At 34.4% G+C, this 25,223-nt stretch overlaps 1 protein-coding gene across 3 annotated transcripts in view; it reads left to right on the plus strand.

The window, feature by feature from the left end:
• Positions 1-25,223, plus strand: part of SPATA17 (spermatogenesis associated 17) — a 240,353-nt gene that overhangs the window by 95,360 nt on the left and 119,770 nt on the right. For all 3 annotated transcript variants that reach the window (NM_001375655.1, NM_138796.4, XM_011509194.4), the window contains exon 6: positions 15,272-15,395. In NM_001375655.1, the coding sequence (NP_001362584.1) occupies positions 15,272-15,395 (124 nt within the window). The remainder of the gene's footprint in view (positions 1-15,271; positions 15,396-25,223) is intronic.

Consider the following 25,223-nt stretch of genomic DNA (forward strand, 5'->3'; position numbering starts at 1 on the left):
CATATTTTTGTGTGTTTTTTTTTTCATTTTGGCTGCTTTTAGAAAAGGGTTATAGGCAAAAGAGCACATATTCATTGTCTTTCCTAGAAATCCACACATTATTACTACAATAACCACTCAATAAATATTGGCTATTATTATTATGCTTTCCTTAAATGGAGTATCATCTTTACTTTTGCTTGGTCTTACTCTTTCTTCAAGTTGTGAAACTTAAGTTGTTTTAAATTTATGCATGCATTTAAAGCCTTAAAAAAAAACTACTGTCGGGGAGCGGTGGCTTACGCCTGTAATCCCAGCACTTTGGGAGGCTGAGGCGGGCGGATCACCTGAGGTCAGGAGTTAGAGACCAACCTGACCAACATGGAGAAACCCCATCTCTACTAAAAATACAAAGTTAGCCAAGCATGGTGGCATATGCCTGTAATCCCAGCTACTCGGGAGGCTGAGGCAGGAGAATCGCTCGAACCCGGGAGGCGGAGGTTGCCGTCAGCGGAGATCGCGCCATTGCACTCCAGCCTGGGCAACAAGAGCAAAACTCCGTCTCAATAATAATAATAATAATAATAATAATAATAATAATAATAACAACAAAAAACTGTTATTCTTATACATGGCTCCTCTCAATTAAAACTATTTTATTTGGGCCCTTCATTTTTGCATTCTCTCATTGAGATATGGAAGTTTTATCTTCTATTTTGAAGATCATCAGTATTAATATATAACTGACAATTTCCCTACTCATTACAGTTCTTGATGCATAGTGTTCATTGAAAATAAGATTGTATGTTGTAAATGTATGATTGCATAAATTTTTGAAAGCAGGGGCTATGTATTATTTTTTAGTACATAAATCTTCAATAATGAAGTTATCTATTCTAAATTTGGAGGAATATTTGAATAGTTAAAGAGTCTGATTCTCTTAAAATGTATAATATTCTTTTACATATTTTTCCTCTCATGTTGTATAGTAAGTGGATAATTAAGCAAACATTTTCAGTAATATTCTGGCATTATCTAAAATGCCAGTTCACACATTTTATAGTCTCAAAGTCTGGGTAATAAGGATGAAAAGGCAAGCTTAGAGTCTCAATAGACCTCAGCATGAATCTCACCTACACCAATGAATAGTTTCGTATCCTTAGTCAAGTTACTTACTATCTCTGCACCTCACTTTTTCCATCTGCAAAAATATGTCATAAAGTTGTTTAAATGTTAATACATGTAGTTACTTTAACTTTTTGTGAGCTCTGTTTTGGGTTGACTAGTTGCCTGGAGTACATTTTAAAATCATCTTAACATTTTGATTATCAGTACCAAATCATTTACAAAGTACCTGTGTTGGAAGGCTATCTAATACTGTCTTGCATTTTGTAAATTCAACTTATAAGAAATAAAAGAACAGTACTGGAAACATACTAGAAGTTTAGTTTTTAAAACTTATTTATTTAGTTACTACAGAGGTAATGGAAGAAATAATACTATGAAATAAAATATATTCTGATAAAACAATAGGAAATAATATTTTAATCAAATAGAGCTAATGTCATTCAAACACATTAAAATTGCTAACATATTTTGAGCACTTATGGTATACCAAGCATGGTGCTAAGCCCTTTATTATCTCATTCAATTTTCACAACAAATTTGTAAAATAGACATTACCTGTTTCTTAATTGTTATACAAATATTAGTATAGATGTTTGATAAAGAATGAATAGTTATCTCAATGTAAGGTTAAGCATAAAATAAAAACAGAGCTATTTCATCGTTGATTGTTTGCTAAAAATCAAGTGAAACTCAGAGCCAATATTAAGATTAATTTTTTTATGTTTTCTTTGATAAAACTCATTTGTTTGCTTTTTGAAATGTATTTCATTTTAAAGCTATTCCACAGGACGATTTTTGTTAAACTAATTATTTTAAAGAGTGGCATATTTTCAGTTTTTGATATGCGAAAGATATTTGAATCATTAAAAAAACTGGCTGTTTTGTAGGTTCATTCAATAAATAGGTAAACTGTCAGGTAGCTTCCCTAAGTGGGCTGTCATGTTATTTCATTTATTTTTATTATTCAAACTCAAATTAACTTTGCAGTTTCACGATTTATCTATTGTGAATCTGAACAGTTAAGTAGGACAGAAGAAAAGGTGCAGTTCCATTAAGCTCTAACATATCATTGGCTGTCAGGTAAGCCTTGTTATGCTGTCCATCCTCATTTAACTATCCCACAAGATCTCTTAATGAAGTTAAGCCCCAAGTTCACTCCAATAATTCTGTGGCAAGAGTTTGTGCATTGTAACAATTCATCACTTGTCAGGAAGGCACTTTTAGTTTATACATTTAATAAGGGCATCCTCTAGCTTGGTTAATTAGAAGTGAACAGTTTGCATATTTACTAAATGCGGAGTGTCATTGCCACCACGGCCTATTGCCTACATGAATTATTTCTCTATCTGCAGTAAACAGCTGGGTAATTATTACTGCCATAATCAGATAAATTCCCTCTGTAAGGCTTTTCTTACATGGCAATTCTTTGAATTCATCCAAAGCTGAACAAAATTTATGAACTCCAGCAGGGAGGCCACTTTTTCATACTATGGTGTCCCTGTTCCCTATTTCAAGGACATGAGTAGAGCACCATAGATATTGTGTAAATAAGGAGAGTAAATATGATTACCTCAAGATAACATTTCAGTAAACCTCATTTTAAAAACATAATATTACGATCTCAGCCAAGTAAATGATAGCATTTTAGCTTTATCTAATTTTATGTTGATGACAGGTTCTTTTATAGTAAAGTCTATCCCAAAGAGTTAAAGAAAACAACATTTCAGTTTTCAAGAAACAAATTAGTCTGTAATGTTAACTGTAAGTGTAGCTTATTTTCTGTAGAATCATTTTATATATCAAGATACAATAATTATAGTAATTAATTTGGTAGAAATTATATAATAACACAAGCCAGGGTGTCCAACATAAAATGTAGAATATATTCTTTGCCTTAAAAACAGTCTGCCATTTATTCATAATTACTAGTTAATGACATAATCCATGTAATCACTTTAAAATATGGAATGATATTAACTATTTGATCACAGTCTTTTCACATGCTATATTTTAACAAGAATGTACTACCTTTTACAATTTGGCATTTCAAAATATTTAAAAACAAAATACACAGAAAGGAAAAAATGCTTCAGTCCCAAGAAGGAATTAACAAAAGGAAAAAGCTCATTATGTGGGTATTTCAATTTAACTCTTTCCACAATGAATTTCAAGCAGTTTACAAAGGACATGGGGACCACAGTAAAGGAAAATATAGATATGATGATGCTAATGGTATAATTGATCAGGGAAGATGATTAGTTAAGTATGTCCCATTAACAAAATGGAGAAACATTACTGCATATGCCAAGAAACAGTTTTTTCTAGCACTGATCCTGAAAGAAATTTTACATATAAGTCCTCAGTAGGAGACACTAAGTAAAGCAATGAACAATGTCTTCAGTAAAGTGATTTTTTTTTTTTTTTTGAGATGGAGTCTCACTCTGTCGCCAAGGCTACAGTGCAATGGCGTGATCTCGGCTCACTGCAACCTCTGTCTCCCGGGTTCCAGCAATTCTCCTGCCTCAGCCTCAGAGTACCTGGGATTACAGGCACGCACCACCACACCTGGCTTAGTTTTGTATTTTTAGTAGAGACAGGGTTTCACCATGTTGGCCATGCTGATCTCGAACTCCTGACCTCAAGTGATCTATCTATACACCTTGGCCTCCCAAAGTGCTGGGATTACAGATGTGAGCCACCACGCCCAGCCAAGTTTTTGTTTGTTTGTTTGTTTTCAAATACAAAAAAGCAGTCTGAATTTCAAATCCTTCTTTTTTGTAGTGATCTTTAGAGGAAAAAAAAATTCCTGGGGAATGTACTAAAATATTACTCATTTGAAAGTAAAAGACTAAAATAGTGTTAGTCCATGGACTTAGCCTTACGGTTGTCCAGCTTTGAGGAACGGATGGACTTGGAAGTTCTTATCTCTCACTTCTCTTACCTGATTTTTTGATAGACGATAAAAGAAAGTTTCTTTTTTTAAAAAAACTCTGTGATAGGGATTGAGAATGCTATTTTTCATATTGCCGATTTTGAGTAGATTTATCTCAGATGCAGATGCTTGATATATTAATAATATGTAAACTTTTTAGTCACATTTTATGATATGTTTACATTATTATGAAACTCTATTGAGAAAATGTTATTAGTGCTAAAAGTCATTTATATGTAATACTGTCCTGTGGACTATTTTGGCCTTCATCTTATTTTATCTCTTTGAAGCATAAAGGCACTGTAAACCACTTTCTTCTCTTCTCTTATAATTTAATTCTCTGATACCACTTTCTCTTGGTTTCCTTTCTCCATTTCTAATGGTTTCTTCTCTGCATTCCTTGTGTACTCTATTTGACCTTAAATATTAGTGTAGTGTACCCTCCTCGATGCATTTACCTTTTCATTGTACACTCTATAGATGATCACTTTCACTTCTGTGACTTCTGCTAGCACTTGTGTGATGATTCATAACTCCAAGTATTCTTCCACCGAGACCTCTATCTTGATTGTTTTAACCATCTATTCAAATGCCTGCTATCATTGCCACTTGGACATCCCACCAACATCTCAAGCTGAGCATGTTTAGATAAAATTATTTCCCCAAACCTCTTCCTCTTTCTATGGTAAATTGAACCATTCTTCATGTAGGCACCCAAGCCAGGAACATGAGATTTTCATTCTAAAAATTCTTCTCTTTATTGGTGGCCAAGCCCTATCAATTCTTTTCCTAGCTCTCCTCATAAGTCTGTTCTCCCTACTGCTGCCTTAATGATCTTTCTGAAATATAAATCTGATCACCATAATCTGTTTATTTCCTTCCTTTTCATTATCCCATAGTAAAAGATGACCTAGAGGTTCTAGAAACATGTGAAATATAAACACTGGGATTACATTTTAGAGTATATTCTTGGCATAAGAATTAAGCAAACCCAAAATGAACACTTGAATCATATTGTTTAACAGTTTTAATACTAAAAAATGTGAATCTTTGGATAAGAATGTTAACATGTATTTTAGATATAATATTAGCATAGAATGGGAATTCATAGAACATATGTATACCTAAATAAACTGAAATTTTAGGATAAATAGGAAATTGTGTAGTGATAACCTACTACAAAAAAAGCAAATTGATAAAGAATCATTTATTTTTAAATCACTTTTTAATTACCCCTTTGTAATGCTTGACAGCTTTTTCCATTTCCTTTCCTTCTAAATCTATCCTTTTCCCCTCTTGGAGTTGACAATGAAAAGAATGGAGAAAGAAAATTACTCCAGTTTCTCTCTCTCTCTCTCTCTCTCTGTCTCACCACTATTTTGTAATAGTTTCTTATCCAACAATAAATGGGATGGCATTCCCTGTGGCATTCATATAAAAATGATTTCCAAGATCAGCTGTAAAAGAATTGCTCAATAAATAGTTTCCCAAAACTCATTAGATAATTTCTGAAACTACATGTAGCATACTGCTTTAAAATATGTTGACATCATCCTATGGTATGTTATTACTGCTTTATGTTAGCCTCAAGATTAGTTGAGAGATGTCCCTTGTCTGTGTTTAGTGGATTGCATGCAAAAGCAGCAGCAATTATTTTTGCTTTAAAGTGAGGTTAACACATTTTAAATGAGAGACAATGTGTGATGTTTGAGTAAACACAAAATAAACAAGATCATGAAACTCTTTTTATATGAAATGGGAACTGTAGCTACCTCAATTCTGAACTCTACCCAAAACATAAATTTAGTGGGTTGATCCTCCTCCTCCACAGCTGAATCACTGTGAAGATGGGCAATGGAGAGAATATGATATGCCTTCATCTATCTTTATGCAGGAAAGCCCCCATGCTGTGTCTCAAAGTCACAATCTGTAAAGTCATTTTATTTCACAAAGATGAACAGAGACCTTGTTAATAATATCTGCCCCCTACCAACCTTAGTAGAATGTTGTGAGGCTGAATTAATATCTGAAAGCATTTGGAGCCCTGAAAATAATGTACCATATAAATATATTTTATTATTATTGCTATTATTGTAGTTATGTCATTATTAATTATTTGACATCACGCATATATAAAATTTTACTTCCTTTTACAGCAACTCTCTAGATGATAAAAAGAAAATAATTTTACTGTGAAATATGTGCATATTTTTAGAAAGAATACTATACAAAAATTCTTTTCAACCAAGTTGATTCAAAAATGCCAGAAGCAGAAAAAAAAATGATTTTCATGAATGATCTTTGAATGGAGTCTTATTGCTTTTTATAATCATGCAAAGCAGGTAAATGAAATAATAGAGCAATTGGACAATCCCTTTGTATGATCATACTAAAGTCATGGTATTGTAATTTTATAACATTGACCATTATCATCTTTTATACTTTTTTCATTCTCAAACTGTCTTGTCTATAGAGAATAAATTTACTAGCATTACTCTTAGAGAGCCCATTTATGTGTGGCCAGGAAACCTTTCTTCTCAAAAGTGCATTTCTGTCCTTTGCTGTTGATGGTCAAAGCCTACCGAAGAGAGCAAGAGTTTCTAGTGAATGATCCAGTCTTATTTCAACACTGCTCCTCTGTATCCCTGCTCTCTCTACTTAGTGAAAACTTGCTCGTTGTTCAGTTCCCAACTCCAATACCATCACCTCCATGAAACCTTTTCTGATCCATCTAATCAGAAGTGAGCCCCCTGAACTTAAGCACTACGTATGTATTTTTTTCACTGACTTATTTTCTACATTCTGATAAATTATCAGCTATTTTGTTTGTAACCTACTTGAAGGCAAGTACTACGGTTTAAACGTCTTTATTTCTCTAAATATCTTAAACATATTTGTGAATACCTGCTTGAATAAACAAATGAGTGTTAATTCTCTACATGATATTAACTCTTAAAATAGCTTAGATATTTTTGAAGAGAAACTCTTCTATACTGCAACAAAAGATTTTGTAACTAAACATTTTCCTTTCATTTTTTAATGAGAGGACCTTTCTGAATGTTTTTAAAATGTTAAAGTTTCAACTCTATATTTCAGAATAAGGTGTGAAACTCAGGCGCAACCTGAGTGCTTGAGTTAATGACTATGTGCTACAGAATATTTCATTTTAAACGTATTTTCCCTTTGTGAAGGGCTGCCCTAATGGAATTTGCAACACCTGTCATACAGATCCGGGGAGTAGGTAACCAGTAGCAAAATAAGGTAGATAAAGTAAGTGGTGTAAGTTGTTTGACTGACTTAAATTTTGTTTCTAATGGGAATATTTTAGGTATCTTAATAACTTCCAGATAATCTATTCCATGGTTTTATCACTCACAAAATATTTTTAAATGTCAAACCCAGAATCCTAGCATTTAAATGACTTTTTTATGGTTAGTATTTTTATTGTATTTTAGACTTAGCATTCTCTTTTTTCTTTTATGGCTTACTTATTTGGTTAAATTAATGTGAACATATTCAGAGCAGACAATTGTTAGAGATGAAATGTAAATACATTCAATAAATTTAACTAAAACACTTTTATGCCAAATACACCACAGCAGAAACTAATGCCATTTGACTATTTTAATTTGTTTAATTTTTTGGAGACAGGGTCTTACTATGTTGCTCAGGCTTGTCTTGAGCTCCTGGGTGCAAGTGAAGCTCCTGCCTCAGCCTCCGGAATAGCTGGTATTACAGGTGTGTGCCACCACACCCATGACTGTTTTTATTTTGAAGGCATCTTACAACAGAAGCACACACTGACTTTACTTGCCATGAAAACAGAATAAGGACAGTAAAAAGTTGTTTAAATCCATTTCGTTAGAATTTTATTTTTTCTTAAAGATGGTGCAGATGATGGCATTTTGTTTTTATTTAAGAAATCTATGTAGTATTTTTTATTAGCAGTTGACTCTGCAGCTTTAGGAATTTGTGTTTTTAACGCAGTCTGGATGTAATTATTTGTTTCTTTGTCAAAATTATGATTTTTGTGGAATTATTGTGAAGTACATATTGTGTCTTCTTTGTAGTATATCATAGACCACCTCAGGGTTCCACCTCCAGAATGTTTAATTAAGCCAGTCTGAGGTGGGGTCTGAGAAAGTGCATTTTTATTAGTTCCAAAGTGAAGTTGATGCTGCTGGTCCAGGGACCACACTTTGAGACCCACTAACCTAGGCAAAGAGCTGGAGTTCTGGTTCTACCCCCGCTTCCCAACAGAGGACTTTCACAATGTAGTTTCTTCTCTCTCCTAATTAAACCATCAGGAGTGATGAAATATACTAGTCAACTGAGAAATAGTTAAAGAGGATGCTGGCACCAAGTTCGTACTAGGTATTACACCAAGTGTTTTGGGAGGGGCACATCAATGAATAAACATTATTCTTGACCTTCAGGACCGGTCTTAGTCAGTTTGGGCTGCTGTAGCAGAATTCCAGAGAGTGACTAAACAAGAGAAATTTGTTTCTCACAGTTCTGGAGACTGGAAAATCCAAGACAGGTGCCAACATATCCATCTGGTAAGGGCACTCTTCTTTGTTTGCAGGCAGTTAACTTCTCCTTGTGTCCTCACAGAGGGAGAGCATCTTTCTCATGTCTGTTTTAAATCCCATGGCACTAATCCCATTCAATGGGGGATCCACCTCCATAATTGAATTACCTCCCAAAGGCCCCACCTCCAAATGCCATCACATTTAGGATTTAGGCTTCAACATGTGAATTTGGGGGAACTCGAATATTCAGCCTATAGCAGGACCTTAGCATTCAGGAGGGAGAGTTAGCAAGTCATGCATGCATACCTACAACTATAATGTGTTGCAGAAGGTAATGGACATATTAAAGAGAAATAAAGGATTCATAATCAGTATTACAGTGGGAGCAACTAAAGATTAATTTTTGTTGAGGGGATCTATGAAGCCTTCTTACAGGAAACGATGGAGGTTTTGTGTTTTTTGTTCTTGACTTAAAAAGAAGAGACTATAAAAATTATAAAGATTCTGTTTTTAGTATTATAGTTTGAAATGAACAAGAAAAGCAAAAAGAATGTGACCATCTTATTAATAATTTTTATTATGGTGAACAAAGCATTTAATGAGTATACTGAGCAAATATTGAACTGTATATAATTGAGTCATTTATATGTTACATAACATACATATTATATATTAATATATTTATTAGGATTATGAGTTTAGATTTTTTATCTTATATCACTTGTGGAAATAATATAATTTTGAGCAGAGTGCTCTTTTTCCTCAAAAATATTTTATAGAAATATATTATTTTTCTCCTTTGGTACAGACATTAGACAAAATCAAGAAACAGTTTAAAAAGAAAAAATGTAACAAGGAAAAGAAAATCTGCAATGCAAGAAAACATGAATTATTACATGATAGGAAGTAATCATTACCTTTCATTTGGGCTCGGGATTGAGCAGGATTATATACTTGTTTTTGCAGTCACTTCTCTCTAGTTCTTATCATCATTCATAGACATAAACCTACACACTTATATGGAGACAGTAGTCTTTTCAAAATGTTTGCTTATTCATTCAAATAGACATGGGCAACATAGACATACTCTTTATTTTTACAGTTTGCAGTCTAGTAGGGAAGACATATATTAAACAAATATATCCATAAATGTATGATTGTAAATTTTATTAAGTTATACGGAAGAAAAACAACATTATGATGTTTATGAGTGAAAAGAACAGTAAAAGGAGAATTCAGGTTGCTGTAGAGGAAATCCACATCAGAAAGTAAATACAATTTAAGTGAAGATCTTGAGGTAGAAATAAATGGTTTGCTAGGAAATGAAATACAGCCATTGTGACTGAAGCATAGTGATCCTGGGAGAGAGCAACATGAAGTGAGAGGGAGAGAGAAGCAGGGACCAATGCTGAAAGGCCTTGTAGGTTTGTATTGTGTGTTAGTTGTATTGTGCCAAATAGCTTCTAAGCATCTTTCAGCTTCAGTCTCTTTTATACATTAATGTTGTACATTAGAATTATTTACTTGCTCAGAAAATAGCAAATGGAAAACATATTTTAAGGAAAATAAGACATTTGTGGTGGCAAATGCAAAGGTCTGTGTATTTCATGGCCACACAGAGCTACCTGGTTATGATCTTACGATCTGGTGATGAAAGAGTAGTGACAGTTCATTGAAATCATTCTAAAACAGAGCAGCTTCTTCCATTTGCGTGCTTTGGAAAACTAATATATGTAATACAAAGCTACCTCTTCAGAAAAAAAAGTCCTATTGATAGCTAAATACAATACTGAATTTAGGCAACATGAGTATAGTATTGTGGTTAAAGGCAAAGATTTTGGAGTCAAACCCAGATTCAAATTCTAACTCTGTCACTTTCTGGATGTAGGAGTTTGGGCAGAGATTTAATCTCTGTGAGTATCATTTCCTCATCTGTTAACTGAGTGTAATAATATCTGCCCCACAGGACTATGAAAGTATTAAATGAGATGATATCTATGTCTTAGCCAGGAACCTCTTGAAAGCAGAACATAAATAGAGGATTAAAGTGCTGATACTTTGGGTGGCTCAATACCAGCTCAATGATGGTTAGAAAAGGGGGTCATAGATGGAAGTGTCATAGATGGAAACAACTCTCAGACAGTGATTTGGTGCATGAGATTTATTGGGGAGCAACATCTTTAAGGGAAGGGAGGAGGGAGGTTGAGAGAGAAGTTGAATTGTACCAGGAGGTCTCAGCTCTGCTGTTTGGATGGCCCTTTATATTGGTCCCAAACTGAGACAAAGGCTCTGGGCCTATATACTCTGTCAATCCCGTCATTGATTGAATCCAGGCTGGGGGCAGGATAACAAAACCTACCTGGGGCAGGGCAGCTGATTTTCTCCAGTGAGATATAGTTATGAACAGTCAGCAGACAGCACTCCTGGCAGCTGGAACTTTGGGTTTGGTTCTGTAGGGAGGAATGAGGCATTATGAGCTCCTGCAGTCCTGGCCACTGCTTCACAAAGAGCCCCATAGTGATGCAACATAGTTCAGCAGATATGCTTGTTGTCTTTTTTTTTTTTTTTTGAGATAGAGTCTCGCTCTGTCACCCAGCCTGGAGTGCAGTGGTGCGATCCGGCTCACTGCAACCTCCGCCTCCCAGGTTCAAGCGATTCTCCTGCCTGAGCCTCCTGAGTAGCTGGGATTACAGGTGCACACCACCACACCAGGCTAATTTTTTGTATTTTTAGTAGAGATGGGATTTCACTACGTTAGCCAGGCTGATCTTGAACTCGTGACCTCAGGTGATCCACCCGCCTTGGCCTCCCAAAGTGCTGGGATTATAGGCGTGAGCCACTGCACCTGGCCATGCTTGCTGTCTTTAGCCACACAGGTTGTCTTCAGGTTTGCAAGGAGAAACCACCCCTCAGAGTAGTAGGTGGAGGACAGGGAAAGGAGAAATTTATTTGCATGGTTCTTTTCTGTCTCCTATTTTCCAGTTATCAGGGTTTACCCCATGCCTCTTAGGAACTCATATTCCATGCTCTATATTGTGTAATTTCATTCCACAAAGTGCACTCTCATCCAGAGAGAGAAAGGAGGAGACCACCAAGGGAATTAGAGAAAGCATATCCAGTTGAGTAGATAAAGCATGTAGCCTAATACTTGGCTCATAGTAAATGTTCAATAAATAGCTAACACTTACATAGCGCCTTACTGTGTACCAGCCACTATTTTGAGTACTTTACATTGATTAACTTATCTCATCCTCACAATAGTTTAATGGAAAAGATACTAATATTAATATATTTACATTTTACAAATGAGGATATTGCAGCCCAGAGGGTAAACAGCTAGTAAGGAGCACAGCAGAGCTGTTATAACCAGGTGCCATTTGAGAGTCTATGCTCTTGGCCGGGTGCGATGGCTCACGCCTGCAATCCCAACACTTGGGGAAGCCAAGGCTGGTGGATTACCTGAGGTCAGGAGTTTGAGACCAGCCTGGCCAACATGGCGAAACACTATCTCTACTAAAAATACAAAAATTAGCTGGGCGTGGTGGCATGTGCCTATAATCCCAGCTACTTGGGAGGTTGAGGCAGGAGAATTGCTTGAACCCAGGAGGCAGAGGTTGCAGTGAGCTGAGATTGTGCCACTGCACTCCAGCGTGGGTGACAGAGCAAGACTCAATCTCAAAAAGACAAAATAAAACAAAACAAAAACAGAGTCTATGCTCTTAATCACTCCACTATATTGTGGCTATTATTATTATTGCTATCATTATTAGAATATGTAAATACTTTATTATCCCTATGAATATCATTGGCAAAATACATTCAAATATGTAAAGCTTTGCAAAAGTTTCAGTAATTTTTATCTTTATTTTAAAACTATATCAGAAAATGTTTTATAGATATGAAAACAGGGCAGAGAGTCTTGGAACTTATTCAAGTTTCTTTATATGGTAGAAGACAGGATTATAAGATAAAGGAAATATGCATGGCTAATTTAATAAAAATATATTTGGCATAATATTTCTTGTGTCAGGAAGATGACAGCCTGGTCTGGAGTTAGAAAATATGCAAACACAGAGATTCTAATTCCATTTCTGCCATTAACTTATTTGTTAATCACAGTAGGTCATTTAATCTCTTTATGTGTTTCTGTATTTGCAAAATAGAGTAATTAGTAAAAGCTATGCCATATATATCACAGGATTTTTTTTTGAGGATAGAAATGAGAAAATACATCTGAAATGTAAAATCAGAAAAACAACCTATCTAAATGTCTTGGAAGTACTGCATTGAAAAAATCTCCAGATTAAAAATATAGGTAATTTTTATAATTTTGTAGGGAATCCTAGTTAGAATGGTTTCCATCCTTTTATTTTTAATGAGATCATAATTTTTATTGCATCCTGCACACTGAGAAATATCTTCACCCTACTGCTATAACAAAAATGTATATATCAAGAATAATTTATTTAGCAATTCCTACTTCATCATTTAACAAAGAATGTTTGACATAAATATTACTGTCTTGTTCAGTATATCCACACACACTCAAATATTACAAGAAATCAATTTGGAACCTAAGAATTGACTTTTTTCAATAATTGGATGAATTTATTAAATTAACTACTTTTGTGTTTTGAGATTACACACTTGAGTGTTTCCTAAGTGTTTTCTTTATATGCTGGAAAGTAACTTTCTTTTCCATTATCTCGCAGTTTTTGTTCACTGTGCCATGCCACTGTATACATACTGTTTTTATTTTACATTTCCATATTCTGAAGATGAACTGTTTTTACTACTTAAAATAACTTACACTTTTGATTTTGTATCCAAGTTCTATGTACATCTTTGTACCTTACCCGTTCATATATGTTTTCAATTATATTAGGCCTTTCTTCTTATATAAGACCTTTTCATATTTATTAAATTATTTATAGAGCAGAAACTTCTTTATAGATTTTTTATTTTTATGATTGCTTAGAAAATTACTGTACTTATATTTAGCATAATATGAAATTGGATACATGCATTTCTGAGTAATTATCTTTATAGTGGTAGTTCTCTGGTTAATTTTTATTTTTTTCATAATATCAATAGTAAAGATTAAAATTAATAATGTATTTGCTTTTTAATGTAACATGTGATTGTTATTTTTCCCAGCAAAAGTTCTTATTTAGTCATATGTAACTGCCTTGAAATTTGTACTTTAAGGACAAAGAAAGGTCACCAATCCCTCTAACTCCTGGTTCTTTGTCAAAAATGGACACAGTTAATGAGGTTTGTTTGGTACAGAACAAATTCTCAGACACAGATAGAGATCCTTTCAATGGAAACAAATTTGTTTGGCTTTACCAGGTTACTTAGCGATTAATAATAGCCTTGAGATGCAGGTCAGAGAGGTCATTGTACCAGCTTGCCAACACAATCTAAATGTGCAGCTAGCCTGGCTCTGTGGGCGCAGAAGCCCCCAAAATACTATGCATAAAGTAAAACAGGCTATTTTCTGACTCCTTTTTTCATATTAATAAGCAATTTTCAAGAGAAGGTGGCAAAATGGGGGCCATGCCACTCCAAGTAATTCATTTATTTTGCAATTTAATCTTACGTTGAAAAAAATTGCTCAGCTGCAATAGCATAGCTTGGTGATTTTTAAACGTCAGTGTGTTTCATAAGTAACCTTGTATGAAGTATTGTATTAGTGGCCTTTAACAGAAAATTGCAACAAAAATATTTCTAGACATTGAAGTAGAAAGGAGAATCTTTTATTTTTTGAATTTTTTTCCTCTGCTTTCCTCAGATACCTTTGAGAAAAATGCTCAGATGATTTATTTAAAACTTTACTTACAGAACTAGACACTAAGTTACTTACCTACTTTTTTAAAAAAGTATAGTACAATTTCAAAACATTATTTTAACACAAATAGTTAAATTTTTCCTTGAAAATAAAGGATTTTTCTCCATATTTGATATCATAATCTGTTTAGCAGATGTTTTCACATAGTATACTTAAAAGCTTATTTTTTGTTTATATTTCTTAGATACACATAAATAATGAAAAGTTTCATTATTTTAATAGAATTTATTATACTTAGAAAAGACTTGCACTTTCTCACCTAATTTAGCTTTTATTCGAATTATCTGTGTAATTGGACAAAATGTCAACCTTTGAAGTGCAAGATAATATATGTAATCTTATTGGTATTATTTGAAGTGTCAACTGAAGTAAACCTACAATAAATTAAGTGTATGTATAAAACCTGTCACATTTTAAAAATTAGGCCATTAGTTAGTAGGCAAAATAAATGATTAGAGATTTGAAAATACAAACCCAAAATGTAAGGGAAAACAGTAGCACAGATGCTTTCTTGGGATATTTAAGTATGTCCAAAAAAGTTAATCTTAAAGCAAAAATACCCTGATAATTTAGTAAGACACTTACTTTGCATTTGATGTATTTTCTCAGCTTTGAATTAATTATAAATATACTCATTTGATCTCAAAAACTTAATCACTGAAAAGTCACATAAATGCTTTCTAAATATTGCAAAGATTCATGTAGAAAATGCAGGTAAGATAGATTACACCACTGATTTGGATGGATATGGATGATGGTTGCCCCTCAAAAAAACTGATTTATCATCAGTGAAAGAATTAAAATGTTAACACATAGTATCATAAATAACTGCAGATGGTTTTGATGCAGGAAGGCACTGGAGGAGTTTGCAGAAATGAAAGAAAGAGAAGAGAAGAAGGCTAACCTCGAAAGGGAAGAGAAGAAAAGAGATTACCAAGCCCGAAAGATGCATTACCTCCTCAGCACAAAGCAGGTTGGTTTACCTGTCCCTGACAGCTCCTGTAAGCCACTTGGGCCCCTAGCCTGACAAAGATAAACTAGCAGGCTGAATGGGACATGACTTGTTGAAAAGATATCACAAAGACACTACTTCGAGTTCAATTTCGTGCTTCTGTGTAGGTGCGCGCAGGCACCATGACTCGTCTGTGACAGCGGCTTCATAGAGGCAGCCGCTGCGATGCTGGCAGAAAGGTCCAAGTCAGCAGTGTGATCTGCCACGGTGATAACACAACTCGAAGGGCATAACCTCGCTTTCAAAACTCATTCTGAGTGGCTTATTGTTGTGTTGTGAATTGATCAAGAACTAACAAGTTATTAGGCTGAGGTTGCTTTCATGTTTTCTCTTTTAATTGAGCTAACGTTGAGATTAAAACCATTTTTCAACCGTTTCTAAATTTTGATGGAAGTTTTCAGGTAAAGCTTTTAACAAAATTGCTTCAGGAATTACATCTTCTTATAGAAGTATAAGCACGAAATTTGGAATACTTAGACATTTATTTTACAATGCTTGCTAAAATGTCAATACCCTGGATTTTGTCCTGGTTACTAGGAAAGAATACATGTCATGTGGAATAGTCTCAAAAAGAAATACGGTTTTAAAAAAGCATGAGTTTGGGGAGTGAGATATGTTTTGTTACTGGGGATCTAGTCAGGAAACTAGCAATTTCCGGGTTTTTATTTTTTTCTCATAGACCTTCAAGTTCAGTGTTGTAGTTCTGGCCAGAGTCACATAGTTGAATGTCTCCAGGTAGGGGCAAGTCAAGTCCCAGTGGTGAAGGGTGGGCCCCAAGACCAAATGTCATCCTTAGAGGCATCCAAATTAAAATATATATATATATATATATTAAATCCTGGGCTGGCCGTCTACATTTGGAGTGTAGATCTCCCGCATCTCTAGCCTGTGCTTGGTAGTCTAAATACCAATACTTTTTAATCATGGTGACTATCTTCATATTTACTTGGATTTGTGTAGCTGAGTTATCTTCATTTGACAGGTAAGGAAACAAACTCAGAGGTGTTACGTAGCTAAGTTACAGATACAAAGCTAGTAGAAATAGATATGGCACTCGGCACTCTGAGGTCTCTAGACTTTAAATACTTAGGCAATAATTAAAAGATACTTTTAAAAATTAAAAGTCAAAATATTTTAACTTTTCATTATAAAATCTATAGTAGTAAAATTTTAGTTGTATAATTGAGGTGCTACATTTTTATATAGAATTTCAAATCAAAAATTCCTTTTAGCAGAAAATTTTTAACTTTAGTTATTAGTAATTTCAACTTTCATTAAACTGAGTACTATTAATATCCTTATTTCTTTAAATCTGATATTTTATTTTTTACAATACAGTTGTTAATTTTAATAACTCTGAACCATCTTTATACTCTGAATCTTTCTTAATATGAGTTCTAGTTGTGCTATGTATACTTATGATGGGTATTGTAATACAGAAAGCAATTTTTAAAATAGTGAAATCATTCTTTTTTTTTTTAAGAGGGAGCAAAAAAGAGTCTCACCCTGTTGCCCAGGCTGGAGTACAGTGGCGTGATCTTGGCTCACTGCAACCTACACCTCCTGGGTTCAAGCAATTCTCCTGCCTCAGCCTCCAGAGTAGCTGAGATTACAGGCATCCACCACCATGCCAGGCTAATTTTTGTATTTTAATAGAGATGAGGTTTCACCGTGTTGGTCAGGCTGGTCTTGATCTCCTGACCTCAAGTGATCCCCCCGCCTGGGCCTCCCAAAGTGCTGGGATTACAGGTGTGAGCCACCATGCCTGGCCTAAAATAGTGAAATCATATTTAACTGAACATTTGTTAATTCTGTTTTTTTCAAGGTTGTTGAGATACTGAGTATCTAGTGAAATGATTTAGAAAGTCCATGAAGACTCAGTTTTTTTTACTGATAAAAATAATCTGACAGCAAATATCTATGGAGTGCTTACCATGTGCCAAACAGTATTATAGAGACTTTCTATGCATTATTTCTTTAACTAATTTCATTTCATTTCATTTCATTTTTAAAATTAAGCACCTGGTTTGACAAAGAATTTTCGGCCGGGCGCGGTGGCTCACGCCTGTAATCCCAGCACTTTGGGAGGCCGAGGCGGGCGGATCACGAGGTCAAGAGATCGAGACCATCCCGGCTAAAACGGTGAAACCCCGTCTCTACTAAAAATACAAAAAAATTAGCCGGGCGTAGTGGCGGGCGCCTGTAGTCCCAGCTACTTGGGAGGCTGAGGCAGGAGAATGGCGTGAACCCGGGAGGCGGAGCTTGCAGTGAGCCGAGATCCCGCCACTGCACTCCAGCCTGGGCGACAGAGCGAGACTCCGTCTCAAAAAAAAAAAAAAAAAAAAAAAGAATTTTCACAAACCTGACTAAAACACTTGAATCATAGACCTTAATGGATTTTCAGGTATTACCATTGTGTTTTAAGTATATTTGTATTAACAAATACAAGCTGTCAATGCATTTTTCTCCTTCTTTATACCATATAAGCTGCTGATAATATCAATGTATGTAAACTTTACTTTAGTGATCCCTAGTCTCCAAAACTCCTTGGCATCCAATAAAATAATTATTTTTGAGGCACTATGGCAAGGTTGAAAGAACCCAAGTATTGTCATCAGACAGAGCTGAGTTGACATCCCAGCTCTCCCACTAAGGGTAATATATTAGGAGATTACCTTCAGTTTTCTAAGCCTCTGCTTCCGTCTGCATTTGTGGGATAATGAAACCCACCTTGGAAGAATGTGATGAGGATTAAATGTAATGTATTTAAAGCAGTGCCAGACCCTTCGAGGGCATTCAGTAAATGGTAACAATCATATTATTAGAATTTAACCACAGATAAACCTAAGGTTTTCTTAATTTTCTTCCATTAATCTTACCAATTGGAAGCATTCATTTCCTCATTTCCTTTCTTGGCTTTCCTTTAGTTATTAATAAAAAATTAGTTAGAAATTTCTATACTGGTGTCCCCCACCTCCATTTGACACTTGACTTCACAGACCTGAGGACATTACAGGTGAAATTGTATTCTCAAATCGCTTCCCTTGGAGATAAATGTTACAAAAATATCAGGGATTTTAATTTGGACCTGGCTGGTTGGTAAACTTCATCATAGTGATCTTAATATTTGATCACAGGTAACTAGAGATGAAAAGACAACCCTTTGAACCTATGGAGCCACTTTTGTTCCCAAGGCAAACTTTTTGTGTGTGTGGTGGTAAAATAGAATAGCAGTGTCATCTTAGACTCATCTGTTCATTTTGTTCAAGGGATTAGTTTTACTGACAGAATGATACTGGAAAGTTCATATGTTCTCTTCCTTATATCCCAACAGATTTGCTTTACTTAGCTTTTAATCAGTATTTTTCATCATGATATTAAAAAGTTGAATTTTAAAACATGCTACAAGTCAGAACTATTAATACAAACTGTCTCCATCTAAACAAAAGTATGCAACACTAAGATTTAATAAATATAATAAACATGAATCTTAACTTAAACTTATCAGTTAATCACTTCCAATAATATTTTTGAGTGCCTGCCATCTAATAGTACTGTGCTAGGACTTTAGTATATATAAATATATACTATGTAATCTTTAACCACAAAAAGCGCTGAGCCTAATTTCAGTCTAATGTCAATTTTTTTGTAGATGGAAATTGTCAACTTTTCACTACTGCTTATACAGGCCATCTCACTGAAATTAACAACCATTTATACTTACGATTTTGCTGATTTGCTATTTTATTTTAATAAAAAATAACATAACCTTCCTTCCTGAACCTAAGGAAGATTCAGAGAACAAAAGACACACATTTCAATCTGAGTGTTGTTAGTAATTTTTACAGCATGTCTTGGCTATTGGGGAGAAATTAAGCTGCAGATTTTAAAATATTCTTTACTTAGTTGTTTACAAATTAATTTCATTGCTTGTTTTAAGATTAATTTCACTGCTTGCTTTAAGATTTTGATTTCAAATTATATTTATAGACCTTTAAGTACAAATAAAAGCCAAATAAGAATTGATACTGTTCATTTTAAAAGATTTGTATCAATTTTAACGTTCAATGCTTGCAGATATTTGAAAATTCTCCAAATATTCAAGTTTGAATAATTTTATAAAAAGTATACCAGGATAGGAAAAGCTTTATTGATCTGCTTAAAAGGAATAAATCTAATAGGATTTTTAGCAAAGAGAGGGACATTATTTATATTGATGATTTATATTGGTGATTGGTGATTAGGAATGATGTTAGTATGGTTTATAGAATAGTAATTTTTACATTAATTTTTATTGTTCTAATAGCTTACTTTAGATGAGTTAGAAATAAAACATTAATTTTGACAGTGCTTCAAAAAAGATAATTTTGTAAGCCAAAATTGTATTTGTGAATTCAGATATAGATGATATAAGATTATGTGTTTTTAATGTGTTAATAATTTTACGATGATTATGCTGATATACTCATATACTCATATGCTGATTGCAAAGTTTTAAAGTCAGGTTTAAGCCTATTTTTAGTACAAATCCAATGTATACCTTAAAATAGTTCCAAAAGCTATCACTAATTTTTGATGGTATTAATTATCTCATCTTTATTCAAGCAAATATGTTAGTGCTAATAGAAATTACACAAGTAAATAACTAATATTGCAATGAGTGAATTAATAGACCCCTCAGGGTTTTATTAATTAAAAAGTTCAAGTCATATTAAAACACCTTTTGTATATGTTTATTTCAATCAGAAAGCTGAATATGGTACCTTATTTGCATAAATAATCAATCACCATTTACTAGTAGTAATAAGGTTAATTTGTTGCTACAGACATAATAGAATTAGTCAATTATATTTCCCAGAAAATACTATTTGTTATGCACCCCATCACCTGTAAAACAGGGTTGGGATTAGCACCCTTATTAAATGAACACATCAAGAAATCTTTGTCCCTGTAAAAGTTTTATGAAAGGAAGACTAATTTTGGTTGATTTGGATAAAGTAAAATGCAAATATTGCTTCCATTTGTAAATTTAATTTATCTTTCTCTAAAGATTGATTATTTAATAAAGTTATTTATTTTGATTCAGTAACTAGTCAAACTAAATCTAACACATATAAGACATATTTCCTTTGAAGAAAATCTCATTTGCAGATTTGTTTTATTCCAAATAAACTGACTTTCATTCCCTTGCCCTTGTTCTTGGGTAATAAATTATGTTGTCTGCTCCACCTACTGGTGGATATATGCAAAGGCCTATTGTTGGATTTATTAAAAGATGCCTGTAAAATATTGCCAGAATTTTTGAGAATCTTCCTGGAGATTAGAAAAATTACAGACACAAATGTAAAATTCAAGATCCAAATTATAAAAGGTTACTTTGGAAATATTGGTTATTATATAGAATTATACACGGCAATAGTTATCTTATTAGTGAAAATGTTACCCTGTTTTTCATTTTAAAGTGATAATAAAAAAGGTAAATAAACATAAAATATACATATAACTCAGTATAACTATGCATATTTTATTTGGTGTGGCATTTAAGGGTTTACACATATTGAAATTAAAGCTAAAGTAGAAACAAATTTACTTTAATTACAATTGTTACACGTATATAATGGAAATAATTTTCATGTCATAATTTATACGATAGATTTTTGATGTTTTTCCTCACTCATCACTAAAGCAGTGAAAATACTACTGAAAAAACTATTTTAAGTTATTTATGATTTAAAAAGACCCTATACTGTGATTAATACTGATAAAACTTTACTTTGAATTGTATTTTTGAGGAAGCCAAAATGGTTTCAGCTACTTCTTTCCCAAATCATATTAAATCATATTTGTATAGAGAAAGACTGTCTTAATTTTAAAAATTAAACTTGGCCGGGCGCGGTGGCTCACGCCTGTAATTCCAGCACTTTGGGAGGCCGAGGTGGGCGGATCACGAGGTCAGGAAATCGAGATAATCCTGGCTAACACAGTGAAACCCCGTCTCTACAAAAAATACAAAAAATTAGCCAGGCATGGTGGCGAGCGCCTGTAGTCCCAGCTACTCGGGAGGCTGAGGCAGGAGAATGGTGTGAACCTGGGAGGCGGAGCTTGCAGTGAGCCGAGATCGCACCATTGCACTCCAGCCTGGGCAACAGAGCGAGACTCCATCTCAAAAAAAAAAAAAAAAATTAACTTGACATACCCATAATTAATTGATAGTCTGTTGATATGAAAAACAGTTTTATAAGACAAATCTTTTTTAAAAAAATTATTTTAATTTCCAGGATACAAATCTTATAAGGTGAAAAATATTTAAATTAGGAAAATTTTGGCCAGGTGCAGTGGCTCACGCCTGTAACCCAGCACTTGGGGAGGCCAAGGAGGGCAGATCACTTGAGGTCAGTAGTTCGAAACCAGCCTGGCCAACATGGTGAAACCCCGTCTCTATTGAAAGTATAAAAAAATTAGTTGGATGTGGTGGCGGGCGCCTGTAATCCCATCTACTCGGAGGCTGAGGCAGGAGAATCGCTTGAACCTGGGAGGCAGAGGTTGCAGTGAGCCGAGATCACGCCACTGCACTCCAGCCTGGGTGGCAGAGCAAGACTCTGACTCAAAAAAAAAAAAAAAAAAAACTTTAATTCTTCCAAATCACTTATTACTTTCGACTCTATCTTTTAAGTATCATAAGTGGAGAGATCTTATGCATATCAAGTGCTCAATACGTGATTATTCACTTTTATTTTGAGATGATGAAGTCCTAGAAAAATGGCAGCCTTACCGTGTGCACCTGCCAACATGTGTGCATATGTGTGGGTATGTGTATCTATGTGTCATATGTCTTTGTATATTTGGTATATTTGGAAAGTACCTTTGGAGAGGCTATACCATTGCCTAATGTGTGGGTATTGCATTGCACATTACATTTGTGTGGGTATGTGTATCTATGTGCCATATGTCTTTGTATGTTTGGTATATTTGGAAAGTATCTTTGGAGTGATAGGGAAACTCGAGTAATGTTAAGATTACCTGTAATGACTTTCTGGAGCACATATTTGGACCTCTTAGACCTTATCTCATAACCACTTTTCTGACTTGAAAAACATTGATTTTGTTCCTTTATAGTTTCTTAGTTGGACCTTTTTTCCCTCTTTTGTATTTCCATGATATACAGGCAAAAGGATGTATGCCTTGATACTTACGGTTGCCAATAGTACCCTTATCTCCACTGCACTGAATATTACATTTATGATCTTTGTGGTTTGATGCAGCCTGATTTTGAGCATTCACATGTTCCTTGTGAACTTTTTTTGGGCTTTTTTTTCTGTGTGTGTTTTTTTTCTATTTTCCAAATCAGACTTTACATTAAACGATCCACGATTCTAAACTATCCCCAGTTATCCAGGGTTTTGAAGTAGTTGACTCTTCTTCTGTTTTTGCTATCGTCTTTCAGTTCATCATTCCAGGTGTCTTTCAAATCAGTCCCTTCACGTTTATTTCCTGAACCCTGAGAAATTGTAATAGTCTCTAAAATGATTTTCTTTTTAAGTCTTTTGCCCTTTAACCCAATATATTTACCACCATCAGATAAATCTTTCTAAAAGAGCATTTTTATTTCATTTATCTTTGCAGTTTGTAAGCCTCCAAAGATTCCCTGTTATCCATAGGATAAAATCCATATTTTTCAGCGTAAGCATTCAAAATTCTTTACAATCTGACTTCACTCTGCCTATTGAGTCTGATCTGCCTTTGCTCCTCAATATGAGCATACTGATACAGTCTGACTTTATATCCTAGAGAAATTTGTCATAAGATTCTCTCTCTCTCTCTCTCTCTCTCTCTCTCTCTCTCTCTCTCTATATATATATATATATATATATATATGAGGTAGGTGACTTCTGGTGATTTGCCATATTGTGGAAATTCAGAAGCCTCCCCTCTACCTCTCACAGAAGAGGAGAAACATGTTACAAGCTTTTCACTAATACGTTGAATTTGACTGTTACTTTACCGTTAAAGATGTATTTCTTTCTCCTATTAAATTTAGATAACTAATTTAGATGATATTTAGAAAGGAGACATATTAGCTTTCAGGTTGTCCTTAATGGTATATCTTAGTGAAAATTGATAGATTGTGAACAGCTTCTGATAAGAATGGGAAAGAAAACTACGTTCAGAGACCTGAGGCAATGCCTAGAGTATAAAGACCCAAATGGACATAAAATTGGTAAGAAAGAGATCCAGGGATGCTGAAGGGTGTAATGCATTCATGGAATGTCTGGGGAGGAAAGTAGGTATTTATGGCACTAAAAAGAATATTAAGAGGACATGCAGAAGAAATGTATCAGTTGTGTCATTTTGCTTAGAGTCACTGCTATTTAGTATCAATTATTAACATAGCATTCTCCAAAACCAATTCTTAATTCGTACATTCCCTGCCACTTATTTAGCAAACTTTTTCAGGAGTTGGAAAGGTCTGGTAATAAGATAGAGTTATGGATGTATGGTTTGGGAGGTAGATTCATACGTTTTACATGAAGGATCTTATATTTGCTTGTGCTAACTTCCCAGTAGTTTGTATGAATGTTTTCATGCAGAAAAATTTAACAATAGGAACTCACACTGACAGAGATGCCACTCGTCGGAATGTGCTAGAGCAGCATGGGATCTTTAGGATGATCTTTCCAGCCTTCTCTCTTAACCGATTAAAGAAATTAAGACTAGAAGATAAAGCAACCTGCGCAAGGTCACACAACTAGTTTGAATACATTCTGTAAAGCTGGGGCATCCTCAGTAAACCATGGTCACAATAAAAATCTGAGTTGGTCATCTACATCTGTGGTCTACACCTGGTTCACCTAAATAAACCTTACATGGAAGGAACTGTATCCTACCTTTATGACTGTCCAGCCATCCTTCTTTAAAGGATATGCGCTGGTTTTTCATTGAATTCTCTCTTTTTCTCTTTCTCTGAAATGGGTTAGTACTTGCAAGAAACATCAATTCTGAGTGAGTTCACGTACAAAGATAAAAACTAAGGCCTGTATATAGAAGCATAAGGAAAGCCAGAATGTAATTTAGATATCTGTGGTAACTTCTAGTGAATTGCTCAAAGCAATTTATTATATCTATTTTCAGAATATTCTATAAAAGCAGAAATTATCTTTCTAGTGACTAAAATGTTGTTTGGGACTCCTTTTTTTCCCTTTGGACACTTGGCAGGTTTATTCTTTCAAGATTACATAGAGATCTGACCCACGATCTTTGGATCCATAGTTTAAGAGGCAGGTCCTCAAGTCTGGACATTTGTTCTTAATCCCAAGTGAACAGCTCACATCACAGAATCATCACATAATTTGTTACTATTGGCAGTCTCTGTGCAGAAAGGCCAAGGACTGAACTAGCATGGAGAATGAATTACCTATTAACTCTTACATTTTATTTCCTCCCTCTTTAACATTGTAGTTTTTATTATCCTGTAATATATGAAAGGGATGGCATTATTATCCATTGTCAGTTCTCTTTGAAGAGACAGAGTGAAGTGGTTTTAAAAAAATCTTGTTGTGTTTTCAAATGAATTCCTTTTCTGCTCTTCTCCTCTTGCCATCTTTTAACTACCTCACATCTAAGAAAGAGGCAACAATTTCCGAAAGAGGCAAGAATAAATAAAAATTAATTAAAAGAGAGCCACTTAGGTAGAAAAGGGCCTTAGCTCTTTCCCTTATATATTTTTTCCTTTTAAGTGTGCAGCATTTTAGAATAAATTCCTTAGAAAAACACATTATAAACCTCCCCCTT

This window comes from Homo sapiens, chromosome 1 (assembly GCF_000001405.40).
Source record: "Homo sapiens chromosome 1, GRCh38.p14 Primary Assembly".
Taxonomy (NCBI): Eukaryota; Metazoa; Chordata; class Mammalia; order Primates; family Hominidae; genus Homo; species Homo sapiens.